The 23,850-nt window shown below is 44.1% G+C and overlaps 1 protein-coding gene and 1 long non-coding RNA gene across 12 annotated transcripts in view, besides 1 other annotated feature; one reads left to right on the forward strand and one right to left on the reverse strand.

Annotated features, from left to right (window-relative positions):
- PRKCH (protein kinase C eta) overlaps positions 1 to 22,918 on the forward strand; it is a 363,509-nt gene extending 340,591 nt beyond the window's left edge. For 6 of the 7 annotated variants that reach the window (XM_024449661.2, NM_006255.5, XM_047431585.1 and 3 more), the window contains exons 11-14: positions 1,017 to 1,155; positions 2,349 to 2,537; positions 19,685 to 19,828; positions 21,627 to 22,918. In XM_024449661.2, the coding sequence (XP_024305429.1) occupies positions 1,017 to 1,155; positions 2,349 to 2,537; positions 19,685 to 19,828; positions 21,627 to 21,773 (619 nt within the window). In that variant the 3' untranslated portion in view covers positions 21,774 to 22,918. Of the gene's footprint in view, positions 1 to 748; positions 801 to 1,016; positions 1,156 to 2,348; positions 2,538 to 19,684; positions 19,829 to 21,626 lie in introns of those variants that run through there. The other variant, XM_011536957.2, reaches the window with a different exon arrangement.
- On the reverse strand, positions 7,315 to 17,426 carry PRKCH-AS2 (PRKCH antisense RNA 2). Of its 5 annotated transcripts, none has more exons than NR_188138.1 (4): positions 17,036 to 17,426; positions 14,565 to 14,659; positions 10,915 to 11,129; positions 7,315 to 9,848 (listed from the first exon to the last, which is right to left on the reverse strand). It is a non-coding gene; the product is annotated as a PRKCH antisense RNA 2 (long non-coding RNA). The 5 variants fall into 5 exon arrangements; NR_188157.1 differs by lacking the exon at positions 17,036 to 17,426 and adding an exon at positions 15,399 to 15,428; NR_188137.1 differs by lacking the exon at positions 14,565 to 14,659.
- Positions 9,241 to 10,440: an enhancer, noted in NCBI's record as "MED14-independent group 3 enhancer chr14:62004017-62005216 (GRCh37/hg19 assembly coordinates)". NCBI's record gives its function as "activates an origin of replication core promoter dependent on BRD2, BRD4, P300/CBP and CDK7 cofactors, and independent of MED14, by STARR-seq in HCT116 cells {active_cell/tissue: HCT116}" and the evidence as "EXISTENCE:reporter gene assay evidence [ECO:0000049][PMID:35650434]".

Genomic DNA, 23,850 nt, shown 5'->3' on the forward strand with positions numbered 1-23,850 from the left:
TTGGTGTGTTCCCCCTCCCCACCCCTCCTGGTCTATCCTGTCCATGTGTGTGTGTGTGTCTGTCTGTATATGAAATATATATCTATTTGTTTTACACACACACACACACACACACACACACACAAAGTATTTCTTTCTTCTCTTTTCATTTTAGAGACAGGGTCTCACCCTGTCGCCCAGGCTGGAGTTCAGTGATGCACTCTCAGCTCACTGCAGCCTCAACCTCCTGGGCTCAAGTAATCCTCCCACCTCAGCCTCCCAAGTATGTGGGACTACAGGTGCATGCCACCATGCCCAACTAATTTTTGTATTTTTCGTAGGTTGGGATGTTGCCCATGTTGTCCAGGCTAGTTTCAAACTCCTGAACTCAAGCAATCTGCCTGCCTCAGCCTCCCAAAGTGTTGGGATTACAGGCACCCAGCCGACAAGTATTTCTTAAGTACATTATGCCAGGCATAATGGCGCCAGGCATAATGGTGAACCGCATAAACACAATCCCCGCCGTCATGGAGCTTCTAGCCTAGCAAATATTTGTCTCCCATTACACTGTGAGTTCCTTGCAGATGAAGATCAGCTGTACTCCTAGTGCCTGTCACCACCCCGGGCACACAGTGGCCACCTCCCCTATGGGTGTTCATTCTGACTCCGATGGGTAGAGATGGGTGCTAGAGTGGAGGATGGGGTATAGGCTGAGTATGAGGTAAGTGGAAAGCCTAGAAAAGCCACATTCTGCCCTCCGTTTTTACAGGACAGCCTACATTTTCCTGTGGTCAGCCCATTCTTAATGGGCGCATCATCTTGGAGCCATGAGGCAAGTTCTGAGACTTGATCTAAATGTGTCATCCAGATAGCACAGAGAAGTTTGTTCCTTTTGACGTGTGTACAGGAAGCTCATGCGGCCGCATGTGGCCGCACGTGTGTGTGTGTGTGTGTGTGTGTGTGTGTGTGCCCATTCTGAGAGGTGGATGGTTTGGGGTCTGGCTGCCCTATCTCGTGCTGCTCTTTGTATCTTTCAGAGATCTGAAACTGGACAATGTCCTGTTGGACCACGAGGGTCACTGTAAACTGGCAGACTTCGGAATGTGCAAGGAGGGGATTTGCAATGGTGTCACCACGGCCACATTCTGTGGCACGCCAGACTATATCGCTCCAGAGGTGAGTGCAGCTGCTTGATGCAGCTCTGAAATCTGAGCTCTCCAGTAACTCTGACCAGAAATGCCACTGGCTGCTTTTATGCACTGCAGCTTTGGAGGCAGCATTGAAAGGTGTCTAGAGCCGACACCTCTAGACTCATTTATGGCTCATTGGGTGAATGATGGCTGAAAATGGCCTAAGTCCCTCTAATAAGAATTTGAGTTAAAAAAGAAAATCATGCTGCTATAAAGACACATGCACACGTATGTTTATTGCGGCATTATTCACAATAGCAAAGACTTGGAACCAACCCAAATGTCCAACAATGATAGACTGGATTAAGAAAATGTGGCACATATACACCATGGAATACTATGCAGCCATGAAAAATGGTGAGTTCATGTCCTTTGTAGGGACATGGATGAAATTGGAAATCATCATTCTCAGTAAACTATCGCAAGAACAAAAAACCAAACACCGCATATTCTCACTCATAGGTGGGAATTGAACGATGAGATCACATGGACACAGGAAGGGGAATATCACACTCTGGGGACTGTGGTGGGGTGGGGGGAGGGGGGAGGGATAGCATTGGGAGATATACCTAATGCTAGATGACGAGTTAGTGGGTGCAGCGCACCAGCATGGCACATGTATACATATGTAACTAACCTGCACAATGTGCGCATGTACCCTAAAACTTAAAGTATAATAAAAAAAAATATATATATATATGTAAACTTTGCAGTTGCTTTGGGCTTTAGCCCTAAATGAAGACAAAGTGTACGCCATTCATGGCTATTTATTTTCCTTTTTGTCTCTACTTAGTGATTTAATTTCAGCGTCATTTAGCAGAACTAAAGAAAGGCTCTTGAATCCTTGAATCCTTCCCGTATGAGTGAGTGAACCCAGTCCCCTTTTTTTTCCAGACTGATATATTTCCAGAACCCTTTCTGTTTGGGATCTGCACGAGCCCATCACAGTGGCCCAATCAGGCCATAAATATTTGCTCACCTAGATGAGAAGGCACCTCTGAGTTGACCACAGGGAAAACAGACCACTCTGTAGAAATGGAATGAAATACGCTTGCTAGCACAGGAGACTTTTTTAAAAAAACTTTGATATTTCCTAATGCATCAATTTCCCTAGTTATGAAGAACACATTTGTTAATCTGATGTATGAACCACCTTCTCACGCTGCCCCCTTTGCACAGATCCTCCAGGAAATGCTGTACGGGCCTGCAGTAGACTGGTGGGCAATGGGCGTGTTGCTCTATGAGATGCTCTGTGGTCACGCGCCTTTTGAGGCAGAGAACGAAGATGACCTCTTTGAGGCCATACTGAATGATGAGGTGGTCTACCCTACCTGGCTCCATGAAGATGCCACAGGGATCCTAAAATCTGTAAGTTTGGCTTACCCAGCTAGCTTCTGATGTATTGCAAACCAGCTTGTTTCATGTGCTGCTTGAGTCTTTTCAGTACTTCCCACCAGTAAACCACTAGCTCTAACTAAAATTTGTATTGTTCTAATCTAAAGAATCAAAGAACCAGAGTTCTGTCAGGCTGTTACCCTCTCTTATGCAATAGACCCTCTCTTATGCAGTAGTTATTTTGGGGTCAATTTCAATAGCCCTTGATAACTTTGTTTGCCAAATAGCAAGTATTTCTAGCACTTCGTAACTTTAGTTGAGGGCAGGTGATGTTTCCCCTTCATACAGTCAGGCCACACCAGAGTTTTGGGTCAAGTAAATGCCATTCCCAGCCTGTTATTATATCAATTGTGTTTCTGTTGGCATCTTCAAGTTGCAGGATGAAGCGGTCGGGTCTTTCTCTTAGGGCTGGGAGAGGAGAAGGAAGGTTTTCCAAACCTCTGCAGATCTATTTTGCCTCCATGTTATTCTTATGAAAGCCGGGTGCCACGCCCAGGCTGCAGGTGCAATGTTGTAATGGATCATGTTGAGAAAGTCTTTTCTGTGTGTGCATTTAAGGCACTGTGCTGGATGCCTTTGAATTGAGGATAAACATGTACTGGACGCCTTTATGTTGAAAATAAAGTACATGTAATTTGGGTCAGTTCTGTAACCACATTAGTTGAGCTCCAAAATCATGTATTTTCACCTACTATATGCAGAGGGGTTGTAAAGGCAAATAAAAGATCAGTTTTTCAAGAAGGGATAAATCAGAACAATCTATATTCTGTTGGATAGTATCTATGGCATAAGAATTACTATCCTTAAGTTATATCCTTTCAGTAATTTGAGACAAAAGCAAAATGTGGGAAATATTTGCTATCTTGTTGAAAGACTTGTTTCTCTTTAGAAACTTCTAGCCCTATAATCAGTGCCATTTCAGGGACATTTTTTATGTGGGTCACTGTGTACTGGGGCTGAAGGCTTGATTGTCCCTGAGAATTCTCTACATCGCTAAAAGAGAAATAATCACAGAAATCCTTCTGAGGCAAATATTACCAAAGTGAATCATAACACATAGCTCAATCCTCAAGCTGAGGTGTCAGTACCCTCCTGAAACTGAGAAAGCACTAATTTCACAGAAATAAAAGCACAGTACTTTGGGATTCTACCAAATATCTCCTATCTAACATGTTTTTGTAAGAACAGTTCATTTGTTATATTAGTAGAAATTTTAGAGGAAACCATAAATATGGCTTTTATAATTTTATGGAAAAAAAAAGTCACAGAGAAGGGCCTGTCTTCGTGGATTTGTGCCATGAAGTTTCTTAACTTCCTGAAGGGAAATGTACTCACCTAGGTTGGCTGCAGCCAATTTTGATAACATAAACCATGATAACACAGCCTCATCGTGCTGCAGACGGAGGCGTACTTTGCATGATCACTTTCCTACTTCCATGGCCCAGCACCTGGCTTTTTGTAAAAAAGCATGCCAGCCTTCTGTGGCCTGCAACAGCCACCTTCATCATACTAATGGTTTTCCATGCTCCACATATTTAGTCCAATTACTGTAGCTGATTTAGTAGTTTTAATATTTAGATGAAGGACCCCACAGTTCATAATTCAAATTAAAATACTGGTTCAAGCCATAAAAAAAATGCCTGTTATCAGCATTGGTGTATAAAGGTCACTAGGCTTGGTACCATGAAGGGTAGGAAATAAAAGTCAGTCTATGCCTCAATAAATTTTTATATTCTCTAATATAAACACTGGATTAGCAATCCAGATCAGTGTTTCTCTGATAGATACCCTATGCCTTTTGAATCTAGGTCTAGTAGAAATCTTAAGAGGCCACATCACCATTTGAGTTGGACATTCCTAATTTTTTGTCTTTACATTTTTAGAAGTCCTCAACCTCATTCTCGTGTTTCAGAGTCCTCTTGAGAGAATGCTTTCCAACTAAATCTGAAACTAGGTATCATCCCCTTAGCCTAGAACCTAGGACAAGTACTAAGCAAGGTTAAGATTCCTATGGAATTTTTAAGACTTGTTTCTTTTTAACCGGGTGAGCTCAGTTACTTCAAGCTATATCTTTTATGTAAATATGGATATTTTTGGTAACGAGCAGATACACTGTCCAGTAATAGCCTCATGGTCTTTCCTCCAAGAGGAAACAGCCTCTGGTGCCTAAGGAGAATCGCATCCAGTGGAGACTGAGTTGTTCTCTCTCCTTGCAGGTTCACTTTTGGGAAGCTACAAGTCCCTTCACTTCTCTTTATTTCAGCTCCTTTCTCATGCCAGCTGCTCCACTGATGGAGGCAGCAGCTGCGATTGTTACATATCATGCGTCTAGCACTCATTTTCCTAAATAACACTCGACGCTCTCTCTGGGTATCTTCCACATAGGAAGGAGCAGGGGCTCTGGGCTCACAGTGCCGGGCCTGCCTCCCAGTCCTGTTACCTTCTGGCTGAGTGGCCTTGGTGAGCCTCTGTGCCTCTCTGAATCTCAGTGTCCTTGCTTGTAAAATAGAGGTAATAAAATCCATACCATAGGGTGATTGTCCAGATTATATGAAATAATATAGGTAAACTTCCCGGGCACATAATAAGCATTCTGTTTTTTCCTCCTTCAAGGCATGTACCTTCAATGTAATTTTCTTAAAAACACTTAAATGTTGTCAGATAAAATTACTAAAAAAAAAAAAATCACTAAGAGGATTTCTGGGATTTTTTTTTTTTTTTTGTGCATTTTACTCTCCATGCCTAAAAACAAGAAGCTTAAATGGTATAGATGAAAACATTCAGCTAGTCTTTGCAGGGGACTGAGACATTTAAATAGAAATGTGATCAAAGAGAAAAAAGAAATGTTCAGAGCACTCAAGACTTGAGGAGACACACTGAGGAGGGAAAGGCATCAGAATTGGGTTGGTTAAGAACCTGCCTCCAGAGCAGAGCTGCCTGGGGGCAGATCTTGGCTCTTTGACTAATAGGCTGTGTGACCTTGGGCAAATGGCATAATTCTTGCATGCCTTAGTTTCCTCTCCATTTCCTTGGGCAAATGGCCTAATTCTTCCATGCCTCAGCAGGTGGGGTGTACAACCCACAGGGCTACTGCGTGGTTGGCATGAGATAACATGTGTGGGTGCCTGAAGCAGTGCTTGGCACAGGGTACGTGCCCAGGAAGTGTCCTGCACTATTACTGCTGAGAGCTGCATGCATGAAATGATTTTTTTACACTCTGCCCTTATCTCTGAAAAAGTATTTGTCATATTAGGAGGAGGGTTCGAGATAGCAAGGTGTGCTATGCCAACCACTCAGGCTGCTTTCTGGCTCTAATTGCAACTTGATTTAATTAGGCCAATATAGTTATTTTACTACCAGAAGAAAACTTAGAGATTGTCCCTTCCAACCCCCTCGTTTTATAGATGAGGAAACCATGAGGTACTGAGAAATTGTGACTCATCAAAGGCCATTTAACACATTACTTAAATCAATTGGGGCCTTTGTGCACTGCTGATGAGGATGTAAAATGGTGTGGATAATGGTATGGTGGGAGGTTCTTCAGAAAATTAAGCAGAATTACCATATGATCTAGCACTTCTACTTCTGGATATTTACCCAAAAGAATTGAAAGTGGGAACTCTAATAGATATTTGTACACCCATGTCCATAGCAGCATTACGTACAATAGCCCGAAGGTGGAAGCAACCCATGTGTCCATCAACAGATGAATAGATAAGTAAGATGTGGTACGTGCACTCTGAACAAGCATTCATTTGGCTGCACAGGGCCAGATCAAGGTATACTGTGTTCTTTACCAATATTGACTTGACGCCTTTTTCCAGAATTTTGTGTCCACCTAAGATCAGGCTTTCTGGGAGCTTGGTGACTTCAAGAGTTCCTCATGTGAATAGTTGAATCCATTGGATGGTGTTTTGCATAGTTCTAAAAACAGTAGGGAAATCATGAGTGCTAAGTTTTGAACTGTAATTATTTGTCTTTGCCCTTAATTTTATAGAGCTTTGTGATCATTAGAGGCATAAACACAGAATTGTAGAGCTGGAAATAGTTTAAAAATATTTTGTCCACATTTCCTCATCTGTAGATGAGGAAACGGGCCCAGAGAGATGAAGGGACTTTACATGTTAGAATGGAAAGAACACACCCTAGACCTCATGTGACTTCTGCCACTGATTTTCAGTCTATAAAGGTGTGATAATAACACCTATAGTGCCCGCTTCAAATAAGGCAGTATACATGAAAGTGTTTTCCAAGTGGAATGCACGATACAAGAGTAAGTGATTAGTATTGCTAACTTGTGAGTAGTAATTTCACAACACACTTAGAGATGTCATTATCCTCATCTTCTCCTTGAACAGTTCAGCAACATCATCAAGGTTATTAAGTGCTTAATTTTACACAAGGCTGTGGTAGGCTTTTATTCCTAAGGAAATTGTATTTTTGTTTTTCCAGGAGCTTTTAAATCTTGACCAAAGACATATAGGTGGGGTGTAAATAGCCAAATAGATATTGATCTGTTTATTTATATAATAGGCTTATATCAATGCATATGTGCATAGCAGGCATGGGTTCTGCAATACTCAGGTTCTGTGCGAGGTGCCAGGAATTCAGTGATGAGTGAGGCAAACATGATCCTGCTCTTGTGGAATTTACAGTCCAGTTGGGGTGGGGAGGGAGAAAGAAATTTTAAAGAGAAATTAAACATTAACTATATACTTACAATTTAATGAGAAAAAAATAAAATCCAAGGTTCTTTGAAAGCATTTATTTAACAGGCAGATCTAACATGACCTGGGCCACCAAAGGAGGCCATCTGGAGGAGATGACATTTAATAAAGGCTGAAGAGAAATGAGGCTTGAAAGTGTGCAGAGGTCTTGAGAAAGGAGCAGTCCATTTGAGTAGCTCAATGGCAGGCGGGTTGGAGTGTGATGAGCAAAGGGGTGGGGCAGTGAGAGCTTCAGGTGAGGAGGCTGAGGGAACAGTGAGAGCCCAAAGGACATCCTAGGTCACGCGAAGGAGTCTACACTTTATCTGAAGTGCCAACGTAAGTCTTTGAAGAATTCCAAGCAAGCATGAGTGATGCAATCACTACTTCATGTGTAAAAGATCACCCTGGCTATTGTATAAGGAGTGGACCAACAGACTGGAGTATTTGCTGATTAAGTGACTTCTAGGATTTCTTTCAAATTAATCCAGGAGTTGTGGGGAGAAACAGATGAAACAATATTGGGCATGTGTCAGTAACCATCAAGGCTGAGTGATGAGTACATGAGGGTCTGTGTTACTGTCGTCTAAAATTTCCACATGGAAAAGTTGTTAAAACCACCATATAAATGAATATCTTTTATAAACAAGCTCAGCGTGTGTGTATGAAGAAACATTTCTAGCCTGTATAGAAAAAGTGATCTCCATCTTCACAAATGAAGGGAAATGGTTTACAATACAAATATACAGAAAGAGCTAATGATGTGAGCCACATACAAGCTCCCCTGTGGATCCTGGCCACATCTCTTAAATCCAGTCTCGGGTTCCTGGCCTGGGAGTCTATGTCACCCTCATGATTTTTTGCCACAGACAAAATTAACCAGTGGTTTTAGCACAACTCATTTCTTCAGCATACCTGAAGAGTATCTATGCCTTCTCAAGAAGTGTCCTTCAACCTCCAGGGTAGTAATGAAGGGTACCCCAAAGAAGCATTTTTAACAGAAAAGAGACCAGAGAAGGAGAGAATCCTCACTGTTGGACTTTGCCCCATGCTGCCTCCTTGGGACCCTGGGAGATCCTTTCCCGGCCTGCTGGATCTGCCCTTTCCCCCTGAGAGGCAGGAAGAGCTGAGATCTCCAAGCCAGACCTTCACAGTGCCTCTCTCTACAGTCTTAGTGTGGGAGGGGCATCTTTCCATGGCTTCCTGAGATGGAGATTTATTTAAGAAGGAAAGCTTGTTGAATTCCCTCTTACCTTTTTAAATGAAAGGTATTATTATTATTCTATATCTGGGGAAACTGGTCAGACACCTGTTTATGTTACATGCCATAGAGTTACAGATGTTAAAGACCTCAGGGCTTCATCTGGCGTGATGTCAGCGAGGGCCTACATTCAGGGTTGGGGAGGGTGTGTACTGTCCAGCATTCCTCTAAAAGTGTGTGACTGGCAAGGCAGGCTCCAGCATCTTCTGACCACTAATCTAATATTACTGTCCCCACAGGCCCTCCCTGTCATCACCTTTACCACTGCCCTCTCCACCCGCAACACCCCCGAGGTTGTGGACTTGTGAGTTCTTTGTGTATAGCTGTTCAAACATTTCCTATAGACGTGGGTAGTGGACAAAGGACTTGCTTGTGAGAACTTTTCCCATGGAGTGCAGAATCAGTGGGTGCGGGGGTAGCTTGAGCACACTTAGTTTTTAGCCCAGGATTTCTACTTGAAAAGAATTCCCCAAATCATTAACCAGTAATCGCACATCTAAAAGTAACTTTATATGCACCCAAATAGGCACACTGGGAAGACTATTTTTCTTGCTTCCCCTTCTGTCTTTCTCATCTTTGCTTCAAATGTTTCTGCTCAATACTTAACGTGTGCTTGCCTCAAAAGCAGCCTGACCTGCGACTCGCAGAGAATGGAGTATTCACACTGGCAGGATCCTCAGAAATTAACACAAAAAAGGCATATGACGATGACACACACATTTGTGTAAAGAAAAAATAAAAGGCATTCCAGCTGTTATTTCTTAATTTTTTTTAACTTGGTTTGGGAATATATACTACCTGTTTTCTGGTGTCAACATGCCATCAGGTTTCTTAGGCTGACTAAATCATCCCAAAATGCTGATAATGATGAGACAAAAGAAAGTCTATCATTTTTTTAGGGCTTCTGAGGTTCCACTGAGTTTTGCCCTCATCTAGGTCCAGAAGGGCTTAGGGAAGTCCCAGGCGAGTCAGCAGAGCTCAGGAAGCTGAAGCCTTGTCTCAGAGGTTAGTGCTCCTTTGCTGAATCATCTCCAGCAAGAAATCACGTGACTCAGGGTCTACTCAGGTGAAGTCGGCACCCTTGTCTTTGAGCTCACACAGGTGGCTGAGCTAAATAAGTGCTGAAAGGAGCTGGGTGCACTCTCCTGAGTCACCTTTGTTGACTCTGGAAGCACTGTAAACTTGGCATCAGAAGGAGATTATAAAGTGCTTTTGTTCCTAAGCTTTATAAAGTGTGTGTGTATGCATGTGGGTTTCTCTGTCATCCAGCCTCTCAGATTTCATCATCCGAGCATTGTCTGCAGGAATCCTGTTTGCCTGTACGCACAAAGGAGGGAGAACCACAGTTAATTCGGGGATCCTCTTTTAGCCCTGAGTGTGTCCCACATCTGTCACCAGGCAGTGAATTCCAGGAGCATTGACTGTCTTCCTGTTCATTTCCCTACTCCCCTCCTGGGAGAGGCTGGAATGTTCAAGGAAGCCAGCAAAGGTGGTCAGCCAGGAGAAGGCTGGGGAAGAGGAGGGAAAAATGGGACCCGAGTAACGCAGAGGATCCAACCCCAGATCATTAGGGCTGGTTTTTCAAACACTGTTAGGGGAAATCCAAAGAAAGTTATCAAAAGATCCTTGAGTAAGAGGAGTGGTTAACATGCAACCTGGCAGACTGTTGCCAGGACTGGAATACCTGTCTGAGGAAAGGAAGGTGCCCCACAGGCCTCTTACCAAAACCCCTAGTGAGGTTAACACCCTTCAGAAAAGGAACCGTTTGCTCACAGATCAAGGCCAGTGTCTGCAGAAAACAGAAAAACACTGCTCTTCCCAGAGATTTTGTATTTGGGTCTTTTTAAGTCATATAATTTTACTAAAGTTCTTGATCTCTACTTCTTTTTCCCTCATTAAATTGTAAGTTTCCTAAGGTTGGAAGTCCTTACATTTTGATAGCAGTGTAAAGGATTTTTTAAAATGTATTTTTAATAGAGTACTCATGCTGCATGTCTCATTTATCTCCATCCCTGCCAGGAAGATAAAGATGTCAAAGCTTTTGTAAAATGACCACGGAAACTTTTCCTGTGTGGAGATTTGCTAACCGGTGTCTGTGGGTCAGAAAAGCTTTTTGTTTCGAGTTAGAAAAACTCTTGTCAACAAAAGTATTTGACTTTGTTGTTTTTTGTTTGTTTGTCCTTGCCAACTATCAAAGGTCAGTAATTTGGGGCAGTTGATCATTAGATTTGGTTTGGATGCCAAAGATAATGCGCATCCAGGATAAAGAAGGGTACTGGCCTTGATTTCATCAGAGGAGGATAAAGGACATTGTATAGTCCCCACTAGAGAATCTTTGTTCAGCACTCACTTCTCTTCAGTAGCTACATTTGGGGAATCATACCTGGAAAAAAGTAGTTCGTATAGCTTGGGCATGTAGGGTAGCAGCAGCTTTTTCTTAACACTTGGAAGTCATTGGAGAGCATTGAAATCCGCCCCATCAGTCAGAGCTGCTTGAGACTGGTTTGTCAGGAATAGAAGCATGTTGTCTAACAACGGGCATTGGCACAACTGCATGACCTTGGGTTTCCATCTCCGAGACTTGCCTCTAACCTTTACCTACGGTTAATCAACATTGTCCCATGACCAGAAAGAAGATACAAGGAAGCAATAATGATTATAAAACCCAGGAAAGGCAGGGTGTTGGGAGCCTTGGAAAGGAATTGAGTATGTGCTTATGAAGGGCTGCTGGATTCCAGTCACAGACAGCATGGAAAACACAGCCAGCAAACCCACCACGGATTTGAGCACTGCCCCTGCCCGCTAGAGGAACAGTATAGGGCATTTAGTGTACTGAGTTTCATCGAGAGAAAATAAAGTACACTGTGTAGTGTGTCTCTGGAGATATCGCACAGAATATTCTGATGCTGGTCAGTTACAACCTGCCAGGTAAGGCACTGACCCACCGGCATTCTCAAATATACCCACATGCCCACTTCCTCCATCACTGGCTCAGGGAGATCAGCTTGAGCAAGTTTATTTCACTTTATTTTTAATAAAGAAAAGCCCATTTCAGACTCAAGGAAAACAAAGCATCTGTAGCTGAGGGAAGGACAATCTTCAAAATGCCAGCTTTTTTTTTTTCCTCCCAGAGTTTTTAGTGATAAATGCAAAAATAGAAGAAAGAAAAGAGTCCCTTGATATGGGCACAGACTGTGGAGGCCACTGGTGTGGCCACCCACCCACCTGACGCCGGACAGGCCAGTCCGGCTCTGCTTCACGTGTTTTCAATGACACAATGCTGTTCCTGCCAGGGAGCACTCTCATCACTTAATGGTACTGAGTATTACAACCACATTACGTGTTTTAGTTTTTCTTATGATGTATTTAGATATGCTGCCTTTAACTTCCACTCCCTGAACTTATTTCTCCCTGAAATTATTTCTCATCTAATCCCTCTTCTGGCCGACAGCTCTTTGAGTATTTGAAAATTTTAAGTGTCCTTCTATCTTTTCCAGCAAAAAGACCCTCAGTAGTTTGAAATAAAACCAGGTGTCAGGCTGAAGGATGCCTCGGATTTTTTCCAGCCCTATTACTTTTCTTTCCCTTCACTTACCACCTGCACTGTATGTACTTCTCAGCCCTTCTCCTTCCATAGAATCAGAGGAAAAAGAATGTCACATGAGCCAGCAAAGAAGTACAACACAAGGAAACACACAGAGTGCGTGAATTCTCATCAGATGAAGTCCTGAGTGTCATTTATTAGGTGAAAGTAAAGTAAACTGTGTAATGATTCTCCTCACCTGTCGGTCCAAGTATCTTAACCCAGAATCCAAATAAGAAGATTGGTAGCCTCAAGGGGAAGTCTAGCGTAGGGACTGAGAGCAAAGGCCTGAGTTCAAATCCTGACTGTAGCACTCCCAAACTGTGTGACAGGTTACAGATGGGTCTGTTTCTCAGTTTCCTAATCTTTAAATTAGGAATAATAACCACAGTTGCTTTAAGGATTATATCCAATGAATTTGGAACACTTAATGCCTATGCAACAAAGGAGTATGCAGCATACATATATGGTAGTAATGGCTACCACTTCTTAAGCTGTAACTTGTATCAAACGGTATCATTCTCTACTCTCTCCACTCCTGCAGCTTCCCCCTTCTCAAACCAGTCTGGATACCTGGCAGGGTGGTCCATTGCCATGAGTGTGCAGGTAACTAGTTCCAGCCCTCCCCAGCAAATTCCATCCAGATCCAATCTTAGCAGGATAGAGCACCTCTCCTTCTCTTGGCTCGTCCAGTATTCCATAGCAGCACCATTCGGTATAAGAACCTAGACTTGGGAAGATTACAGTTTGTTTCCCCAGAGAGATTCAGGAAGTCTGTTGTCTGTCCTTTCCACCCTACCAAGCCCCATCCCACCCCCAGTGGACTGTCATCAGCCCCATCTTGCATTTAAATGTCTGTCACTGCCTTCTCCTATGGAAAAGTGACTTATCAATGCCAGGTCCAAGCCTGGTGTCTCTCCCATACTGTGCAGCCACATCCCTGCATGACCACTGCCCTGAGCTGGAGGGTGCTGCTAGCACGGGGTGTCTCCAGATCTCCCCAACAGCTGGCAGGAGGGGTATAAAAGGAGAAGGTTGGTCTTCATAACTGGGTCAGAATCTGCGTGTGCCAGCAGCATCCTTCAGACAGACACGCGCCTGCAACACGCATGCGTGGTGTGCTTCTCGTCAGCCCCAGGTGGCCATTAGGGTCTATGGTCATGGCGAGGTTGGGCGTCATGGCTGTGAACCGCACTCTATTCTGTGTCCTGTGCTCTTTCTCTGCCCTTTCTCCCCAGGACCCTCTCTAGAGCCATTAAATGCCTTTTCCCCATTTAGGATCATCGCTCTGGAATATTGGCAGGAAGGTTCTGTGGCATAGTTTCCTTGCCTTCTAACTTGCCAGCATTAGCTGCTAACTCTCTCTCTGCCCTTTGTTTAAGGTCTGAAATTGAATGAATGGAGAAGGTCATTTTGTTTGCCCAACAGCCACATCCAACCATTAGGCAGAAAATACAGTGTTCTCTGGCTCCTGGAAGAAAATCTTATTAGACTAATTGCTTTATTTATATAACTTGTCCTCTTCCTATGAAATCAGACAGATTTTGAAAGAGGAAAAAAATACTTGTGGCCATTACTTATATTTTAGTGAGTAAAGTACATTTGGGCCCAGTTATTTCAAGACTCATAATGACACAGCGTTAAACTCTATAATCTGGAACATCCAACAACTCAAAACTGAAGCTGCCTCCTGTGTGCCCACAAGATGTGATAAGCACCATACCTGACACCAGATTTGCAAAGAAGCTGCTCCACTGCACCCATCTTGCTGCATTTAGTTTCTCTGTCCTATTGTTAATGCAGATATAGTTGCACATTAAAACCTATTGTTTGTAGGCCGGGCGTGGTGGCTCACACCTGTAATCCCAGCACTTTGGGAGGCCGAGGCAGGCGGATCACTTGAGGTCAGGAGTTCAAAACCAGGCTGGCCAACATGGTGAAACCCCGTCTCTACTAAAAATACAAAAATTAGTCGGGCGTGGTGGTGCACACCTGTAATCCCAGCTACTCGGGAGGCTGAGGAAGGAGAATTGCTTGAACCTGGGAGGGGGAGGTTGCAGTGAGCCAAAATTGTGCACCATTGCACTCCAGCCTAGACAGCAAGAGCGAGACTCCATATCAAAAAAAAACAAAACAAACAAAAAACTATTGTTTGTATTCTCGTTTTAAGATTGTCTTAGAAAAGGTTTTCTGTCAGGAAAAAAAAAAAAAAAGTTTTCCAAATAGGGTTTGGTGGTATGTGCCTATAATCCCAGCTACTCAGGAGGCTGAGGCAGGAGGATCACTTGAGCTTAAGAGTTTGAGACCAGCCTGAACAACATAGGAAGATCTTATCTCAGAAATTAAAAAAAAGCAAGAAAAAGGAACATTATTTTCCAAAGACCATTCCTCCCACTGCACTACTGGAGCCTAGGACAGTGAAGGCAGAAAGAGATCTTGTTCTCTCTTACCTGGCTGTAGAGGAACAGGGAGAGCCAGATGAGCCTCAGGGTCAAGGCTGACCTCAGAGTGTAGTCTCTCAGCAGCTTTCTATCTGTGCCCCTGCCTTTTAGTAGAACAGGATGGACTTACAAGTTTGGCATTTGGGTCCCATTAGGGACATAAGCAAATAATGGAAGTATTCTGCAAAAGAATTATGCTGCCACTGTTCACAGCGGTGGGAACAGAGTGTTTAGGGACAGTCTATTCGAGCCTAGGACGGCAACAAGATGTTCACTAATACTATCATTTCTTGAGGGCTTTCTTTATGCCAGGCGCTTTACGTTAATTCTCTCATTGACTCATCATAACTTTTTAAAATATAGGAAAATCTTCATGTTAGAGTTGAGAAATCTAAGGCTCAGAGAAGTTAAGAAATTTGTCCACAGTCACACAGTAACTCAGTGGTGAAAGAATGATACAAACACAAGCAGTGACACTGCAGAGCCTGACCAGCCCTCCATGTCAGAGAAGCTGTTAGTTCTTTCAGCCTTCCCTGGCTTGCAGGAGGCCTCCCAGGACATTCCTATACAAACTTGGCCCAAATCCTTTACATGTCCCCTTAGAACTAGCGTCAGGAGGGAGCATGCCTGCTTGCTTTCCCCTGCAGCCACACCTCCTCTGTAGTCTGGGAAAAAAACTGTTAAGTGTCTCATTCTCGGGGCCAGGTGTGCCTCTGATTCCTTGAGTATCCTCTAGTTCAGTTCCACTGTAATGAGGGCCACAGCAGGAAGGGGAACATAAAATGAGTCCCTGAGTTCTTGACCCTTCTCTTTCCCCTGCTCTCCAGTCAGTTTGAGACTTACACTTGGGGTAGAATCCAGATTTTCCACCCTGGTCCCCTCACTCACTCTGTGCAGCTTATAAAGTGCTTTTCTTGGCCCTAGAAAACATTCTGCTTCCTTTAGTAAATGTGTGCAGAATATTTCATGAAGTCACATTATTTTCCTCTTTGGCCGACTTTCCCTCTTGGATCACAGTCAGGGAGAAAGTCAGCTGAGGTGAGGCAACTTTTCAGTGTGACCTTAAATGTGGATGAAAGTGATGGCCCCGAGGAGCACAATTGTTAACTTACTGGCATTTGGGTCCCATTAGGGACATAAGCAAATAATGAAAGTTTTCTGCAAAAGGATTATGCTGTCACCATTCACAGCAGTAGGAACAGAGAGTTTAGGGAAAGGCCTGTGCCCAGCCTAGGATGGCAAGCTATCCACCTCCAACTCCACACCATCTGCACCAACGTGAACTGTGAAAGATTTCAGGCCTGGGACTAATGTTAAATGTTCCCTTAACTCCTCATCTCCACATCACTGGACGGGGGTAGTGGTAGAAGGGCCACCCCACCACCACCACAACACACAAAGCTTCTACCCCCTTAGTATCACCCCGGACCCTCCTTCTCCCGGTCCTGGTTTCTGTTTCATGGTATTCATCCTCCTCTGGCCTCTTCATGGCATCCTCCAGCTGCCACTCTGGCTGCTTCTCACCCTACACCAGGGGTCAGGAGCCATGAAAGTCCGTGAGTGATACCAGCCAGGTGGGAGGTGATAGGGAGTGGTGGGGCATGTGACTGACTGGGCATCTGGTGCCCCATGAAAAGCAGAAGCCCCTGCTCAACTCCAGGCCGTTTCTATGAGAGGAGTGCAGGCCCAGTGTTCCCGAGTATCTCATTTTCCACGAGAAGTTGGAAAACCTGACTTTTCATGTGATGTGACATTTCCTAGCGTTTAAATATTTGAGAAGTAATTAAAATTATTTCAAAACACACTAGGTAGGCCAAATAAAATGTGTCTGAGACCTAGGGCTGGTATCAGTTCTAGTCTGTCTCTGTCACTTTCCACAATCTAACCTGCCCTCCCAGCTTCAGTGGTTACTCAAATTTCAATGTCTCTGAGCGTTAGATGGCCAGCCCTGGCCTGCACCCCAGATTTACCCTAGAATTCATCTGCATGTGGGTGCCCACACACCTCCAATGCAAAGCGGAGCCCATCAGCCTCCCAGATTTGGCAGACTGTAGGATCTCAGTAAGTGTGAGCTATTTTTGTCTTTGTTCCACTAACAAAAATACTACTACTACTAACACTGCTACTAATACTCATGCTACAAAGAATAATCTCTTGCCCCTCTTTTGTTCCATTTCTGTTACTCAACACCACTGCCCCATCAGGCAGCCAGGGAGGACCCTGTGATCTTGGACTCTTCACTCCCATTCCCGGCAGTTAGTGGATTGTGTTTATTCTTCCACGGCCCTCTAGAATGTGCTTCCAACTCTTCCTTCCAATTAACTAGAAACTCTCCTAGTTGCTGAACTTGTCATGTGTTCTCAGCTATTGTCTCAGCCTCTAACTGCTCACCACCAGGCGCTACCTCTGCATTTAAGATTTATTCATCACGCTGTGGCTAGTGTCATCCCCTAAATTGCCGTGCAGCTCTCATCACTCACCTCGGATGGATCCCACCGGCTGCCCCCGCAGTTCCTCAGCCATCCCTGCATGCCAGCTGTACCAGGCACTTGTATGCCTCTGCATTTGTGCTGGCTGTGTCCTCAGGCGCATTTTCTTCCTTCATGCCTACTATGTTAATTCTGTTCGTCCTCATCTCTGGTCAAATGCCACCTCTTCCACGAGGCTGTCACTTGCCTTCCCACCACCAGCCCCAGTGTTATTTGCCCCGTGCCTCTTCCAAGCTCTCACAGCACTTGATCTAAGTCTCTTTTCATTTCATCCGGCTGTGTATTATGAAGTTTGCTTGATTCTTCCCCCTTCTCTTGATTAGCTCCTGGATGAAGAGACACTGTCTTTGTCATCTGCGTATCCCCAAGAAACCCCTAGTGTGCTGCCTTACATGTAGTAGACACCTTGAAAACCTTTGTCAATTGAATCAAAGTTTGTTTGTGTGTGTGTGTGTTTTGTTTTTTCTTTTGGTTTGTTTTTTTTGTAAGTTGAGGATGGCTGCATCTAAAGGGCTCAGGCCAAGGTATTAAAAACAAAACTGCTTGGTTATTCAAAAGGATTTATCAGAACCCCAAGAGGCTAAGTATCAAGCTAGTGAAAGGGTTATTCTGCCTGTCCCCAATTCCAAGGGTGCAGTTTTTAGAGGACGGACGGTCGTGTTTGGTCTACTTGTCGTCAGGCAAGGCCTCTTCCACAGTGCCCCATGGAAGCTTGGGTTCAGTGCCAGGGGCAGGGAGGAATGGGCAAGCCTCTTGGACACTGGGGCTTCAGCCACCCTGGCATATAGAGTCCTGCACTGTTTGTCTTGCCCAGAAGAACAGGCTGTACCCACCCATTCACAAGATGTCCTCTCTCACATCATTGGCAGGCCTGGGAATTTCCCACAGGCCATCTGGGTGTGTTCTGCCGTCCTGTCTCCCAAGTTTTTTGCAGCATTGTTTCTTGTTAATTAGCTCTTAGAATAGCAACTGCTCTTCCATCAGGAATTGTATCCCGTTGACTTTCCTAAGGCAAGAATCTACTCATTTCTTTTTTGTAAGCATTTTCTCCCTTCCTGCCTGCATTGCACAGGCTTACTTAGTGAGAGCCCAAGCAGTGTGAACTAACTCCTAGCTCTTACAGAACTGAGTTACTTATAATATGCATCTCCTGAATCCTGGGTGACCACTGTAAGTGCCTGAAGTGGCAGCTGCTCTGACTGGGCCTGTGCAGCTCTGAATGCTGCATTTACTTTTGGGTCCTGCCTCCAACCCAGAACCACCTGTGGCCTTTAATTCCTGTTACTAGGAGAGAGGAGAAGCGATTAAACCCTGTCAGTATATTCATTTATTAGCTGCCCTTTGAAGCTTTTTTGAAAGCATTTTACAAGGTATATCCCGTCAGGTTGCTTAGGAACTTTTGCAGCCTCCTTCTTCAACATTATCATTTTCATTTGAATCAACACTGGCAGCTTGACACCTCTGGACACCTGGCATGGCAGTGGGAGGTACCTCCAAACACTGTCTTTCCGTGTCTGCACCTTCAACAAGATTTTCTCTGTAAATTCAGCTCCAAAACAATTTTTATAAACACAGCATTACTTTTGTGTTGTTCACAAATCAGATTTGGAAAGAGGTGCTTGGGGACTGTCATGAGTCTATTTAAAGATAACCTGATTTAAATAAAAACAAAAACAAAACTTTTTATCCAAGGCAATTTTCTTTCAATATGGGAAATTAAATTAGCTTCAGTGTCTTTGAAATTGAGAACCACACTCCGGCCATGAAAAGTGAATTATCCTGTACTAATCCTTGCTCAGGAAGTGATCAAAACACCTTTCCTGGCTATTTTGTGAAAGCAGATTTAGCCCAGCATATTTTGATAGGAGCCCAGCACTAAGGAAGTTTCCCAACTGATGGAAATACAGAGAATCTCTATGCACACATCGCTTAGCTGTGTGGCAGCGCTCGTTTTAGTTTTTGGTCTATGGAGCAATGGAATCTCAGTCATTGAACCTACTTCGAAACAGCAGTGGTGGGGGGAACATCTTGAAGAAAAGCCTTTCATCTAGAGCTATGATATCTTCGCTGCATAAAGAAAAGTGGCCAACTTTGTTTTTTCTAGAGCCAGGACACAGACCTTTTCAGTATGTCACCTTTGCTGCTTCTTCACACAGATCTTCAAAAATAACGACTCTCTCTCCTCTCTGTGGTCTCGTCAGAGAGCAGGAATCCTGGCCAGCTGGTCAGGTCACTCAGAAAAATGGCACAGCTGTTTCTGAAAGTAGCCCCATTCATAAGATGTCTGCTGCCCACAACTGCAGTGTTGGGGAAAGGCACACTGTTATAAAGAGCTTCTTTTCTTTAAAGAGGAAAGAAAAATACATGGTGTTTACAGAAAAGAAAACTGGACCCTCCTGCTTTCTTTTAGTGGCCATGTCTGAAATGGAAGTGGGAAAAGCCATAAATCCACACAGGCAATCGCGCCTTTAAGGCATGATTCATACTGACTGTGCTGCCTGTGATGGAAAACCCAGCTAGTTAAGCAAGACCTGCCAGAAAGTCTCGCACAGCTCCTCTGCCATGGCTGATGCCTGCTGTCTTGTGACGTGCTGGTTGTATGTGAATGAATGATTGACACTTTCTCTCTCTCTCACTCAGTTCATGACCAAGAACCCCACCATGCGCTTGGGCAGCCTGACTCAGGGAGGCGAGCACGCCATCTTGAGACATCCTTTTTTTAAGGAAATCGACTGGGCCCAGCTGAACCATCGCCAAATAGAACCGCCTTTCAGACCCAGAATCGTAAGTGTCCCAGGCTGTCACAGAGACATTCCTTTCTTCAGATGTCACAGCATTCCACCAAAGTCCGTAGAAGAGCTGGATGGCCCCTGTGGGTGACAGACCAGAAATTCAGCTGGATACTGCACAGGGCAGCCTCCCCTGGGGGGAATCTGGGCTCCTTGTCCATGGGACAACAATGTCTTCATGTGCCCACATTAATTCTTACCAAGTTTCACCCCTCGTTTACCCAATCTCCAACTTCTCTCAACCTAAATTAAAATCTTGTAGGGTATAAGAGGCCTGAAACTTTCCAGGTTTCCCCAAAAGAGTTTGGCTAATTGAGAAAGTCATTGTTCTGGCCAATTTCCTCATGCTCCTTGGGGCACTTTTTGTGCCTTTTCTAAGCCCCTGAGAAAGCAGAGTGGGTAGGAGATGTTGCTCACTTCACTGAGCCTGGCCTCTTGGCTTGGAGAGCCTGGGTCTGTAATAGCTGCTGCAGTGCAGAGCCCAGGCCAGGCCAGGCTTCTTTGACCAAAGAAATACTGGGATCTCCAGGGGCTCCTCTCCAAGCTCTGCAGCTGAGGCTGGTGGCCTTCCTGAGCGTGGTCCCGCTTGTGGTCTGAGAGCTGAGCTCGTGCTCATCTGTGGGTCAAGAGCTCCACAGGAGGAAGGCAGAGAAGCAAGGCTAGCGATAGATCAAGAGTGATGGGGAGACCTGGCGTGGTGGCTCATGCCTATAATCCCAGCACTTTGGGAGGCCGAGGCAGATGGATCACTTGAGGTCAGGAGTTTGAGACTAGCCTGGCCAACATGGCAAAACCCCATCTCTACTAAAAATACAAAAAAAAAAAGCCTGGTGTGGTGATGCACACCTCTAATCCCTGCTACTCAGGAGGCTGAAGTAGAAGGATTGCTTGAACCTAGGAGGTGGAGATTGCAGTGAGCCGAGATTGCGTCATGCGCTCCAGCCTGGGCAACTGAGTTAGACTTTGTCTCAAAAAAAAAAAAAAAAAAGTGATAGAGAAATATCATTGATTAAGGTAAGAGCAGTGAGATGTGTGATACTCACTTAGAAATGATCTTTGCAGCGTTTGTTTATACAGATATAAAATACTCAACTTTTAAAAACATACAGTGCACTTAATCACTAACAGCCTACTAGGCTGTTGGACACCAGGCACCCAGAGGTAAAGCCGTTCCTTCAATGGTCAGCCCCCTGCCAGCGCCCCTGGGATTAGGGAGAGCATGGCCTTCAGAGGCTGGAGCCTGTAGTCCTAACTGCACAGCTGGTCCAGCAGGGCGTAACGCATCTACCTAGAGAGTAAAATGACCAACAGTTGTTCCCTAAGCTCAGCACTTGCAAGAAATCTTTTGGGAAGATCTCTTCAAATGTCTAGAACTCTGCGCAAACAATAGGTAGGACAAGTGTGAACCTACCCAACCTCTGTTGACAAATACAGCTGCACACCCCTCAGCGAGGCCTGCTGTGAAATGCCACCTTGGTGAAATGAGAATAAAGGGTGAGTGAGCCAGCTGCTTTTGGATGACCAAATTAATTCTTAGCCTCCCATTAAGACAGGCCTGCTCAGCAAGATTTTCATGGGATTAGTGAATTGGTGGTTGCCAAATGCCATAATAATGCACCATGCAGTAGACTTGCTGTAAAGCACAGTTTCATCATAACAATAACTGTAAATAATGCTACTGAACAAGCTACAGAGCACTCCTCTGAACTCACTGGAATGGGCTATATCCCATGCAAGATGAGTAAGCCTCAAGCGCAAAAATCTCACCCTTGTTTCCCTTTTTTTTTTGGCAGAAATCCCGAGAAGATGTCAGTAATTTTGACCCTGACTTCATAAAGGAAGAGCCAGTTTTAACTCCAATTGATGAGGGACATCTTCCAATGATTAACCAGGATGAGTTTAGAAACTTTTCCTATGTGTCTCCAGAATTGCAACCATAGCCTTATGGGGAGTGAGAGAGAGGGCACGAGAACCCAAAGGGAATAGAGATTCTCCAGGAATTTCCTCTATGGGACCTTCCCAGCATCAGCCTTAGAACAAGAACCTTACCTTCAAGGAGCAAGTGAAGAACTCTGTGAAGGATGGAACTTTCAGATATCAACTATTTAGAGTCCAGAGGGAGCCATGGCACTAGAAATAGTTGATAATGAAATGAGATTTTATGAAGTATACCGCTCCACCTATGAGCGTCTGTCTCTGTGGGCTTGGGATGTTAACAGGAGCCAAAAGGAGGGAAAGTGTGAAGAATAAAGTAGATCTGAGAAATTCTGAGCCAATCAGGCTTCTTAATTCAAGAGACAAACCAAGACGTTCTGTCAACTGTGCTGTGCTCTTCTTTAAGCCAATGAACCCCAATTCCTGGCAGTCTACAAGAAGTCTCTTAATGCTAATGAAGAATTTAAAGGTCTTTTTAAGGAAATGAAGGGCTTTCCAAATAGAATGATTTACTCTGAAGAAACAAACAATGGTATCTCTGAAACTCACAACCTAAAGCCCAATCTTGAAAATATGTTGTGCACCAAGACGACTGCTTCAGCTTCTTCTCTTATCCTTACTTTCTTTAATAGATATTTATTAAACTGTCCAGTGAAAAGGTGCCACAATGCCCAGTATTGTAAACAACAGGTTTGCATTCATGAAGCTTTCATTCATTCTGGAGTCTACTAATTTACCTGAATGGTGTTTGCATTCTGTGAAATGCCTCTCCACGTTGCATATGTCACACTTTTGTCTGCACATAACTCTTTTTTCACAAGAAGGGTCACTGCCACAACAGCACAGTCAGCGGGTGAATTACAGGTGCCTGCTGCCTGCCTACCTGGGTAATCTGATCTTGTCTGTATCGCCGTGTGCTCATCACTGAAGAATTGCAGGCCACTCATGTCAGTGACCAGATTTGTGGCTTATAAACATTAGCAGTTTATTTATGTTTTAAGATGCAAAGATGTGTGTTTGATATTCACTTTAATAATTAGAAATGGATCTTGTAAACAGGGCATATATCAAAGATGACCTTATAATATGTACCCGAATATACAGTTCAAGAATTTTGTCTGACTGGAAATAAATGCATTTTGTAGCAAAAGGAAGTGTTTTGACTAGAATGATTTGTCTCCTTCCCACTAAGACAGTAGATTTCCAATCAAAATAAAACCTTGAGCAGAATGGGTAGAACTCAACTCACAGAAAATTCCTGAGAGGAGAGGTTGATGTAAGTTCTTCTGTGATTCTCTGAAGTAGATGTGGCCTGTCTCTTACTGACCAAAACTTCTGTCCTGAATGAGGGTGATGACTGCTAAGCATAGCTGTAACAGACCAACCCTCAAGATCTCAGGGGCTAGACACCATAAATGTTTATTTCTCATTCACATAAAGTAGCATGTAAGTTCAACAATCTTCCTCCATCTTATAACTACACTATCTGGAAAATGTAGCTTTCCAAAGTCTCCAGAGCAAGGAAGAGACATGGAGGGGGCGCCGGCTGCCTGCCTGCCTCTCCTAGGAGGGACACACCTCACCTCTTCTCACAATGACTGGCTAAAACATGGCTTCCCTCTAACTACAGACGGGATAGGGGAATTATAGAGCAGCTGAGGAGTAGCTGGCTAGTACTGACAGTCTCTTCTCTGTCATAGGTTCTTTTTTTTGCATTCCAATGCGAACACTTACTTTTGAATGAATAGAGTAGCTAGGAACTTCCCTTTCCATTTGTGTAGCACTTACCACTCATAGTCATCACTCTCACCCACATCATGCCACTAGATCTTCATGACGTGCCCACTATTCCCACTGATGATAGTGTGAGTACTGCAGTACATACTACAAATGGCAAGAGAGGCTCAGAGAAGTTGAGTTCATTGGTTTCCCAAAGGGTTCAGGCTTGGTAAAGAGTAGATCCAGCTCTAGGGTCTAAATCTTTGATGCTGTAGTCTGGGAAAGGGAAGGATCATTCTGACTTTGGGACTTTTTTGGCCTTCATAGCTCCTCCACTTTGGGTCTTCTATTGCTCTGTGGGAT

The sequence above is a fragment of the Homo sapiens genome, chromosome 14, assembly GCF_000001405.40.
Source record: "Homo sapiens chromosome 14, GRCh38.p14 Primary Assembly".
NCBI classification, from domain to species: Eukaryota; Metazoa; Chordata; class Mammalia; order Primates; family Hominidae; genus Homo; species Homo sapiens.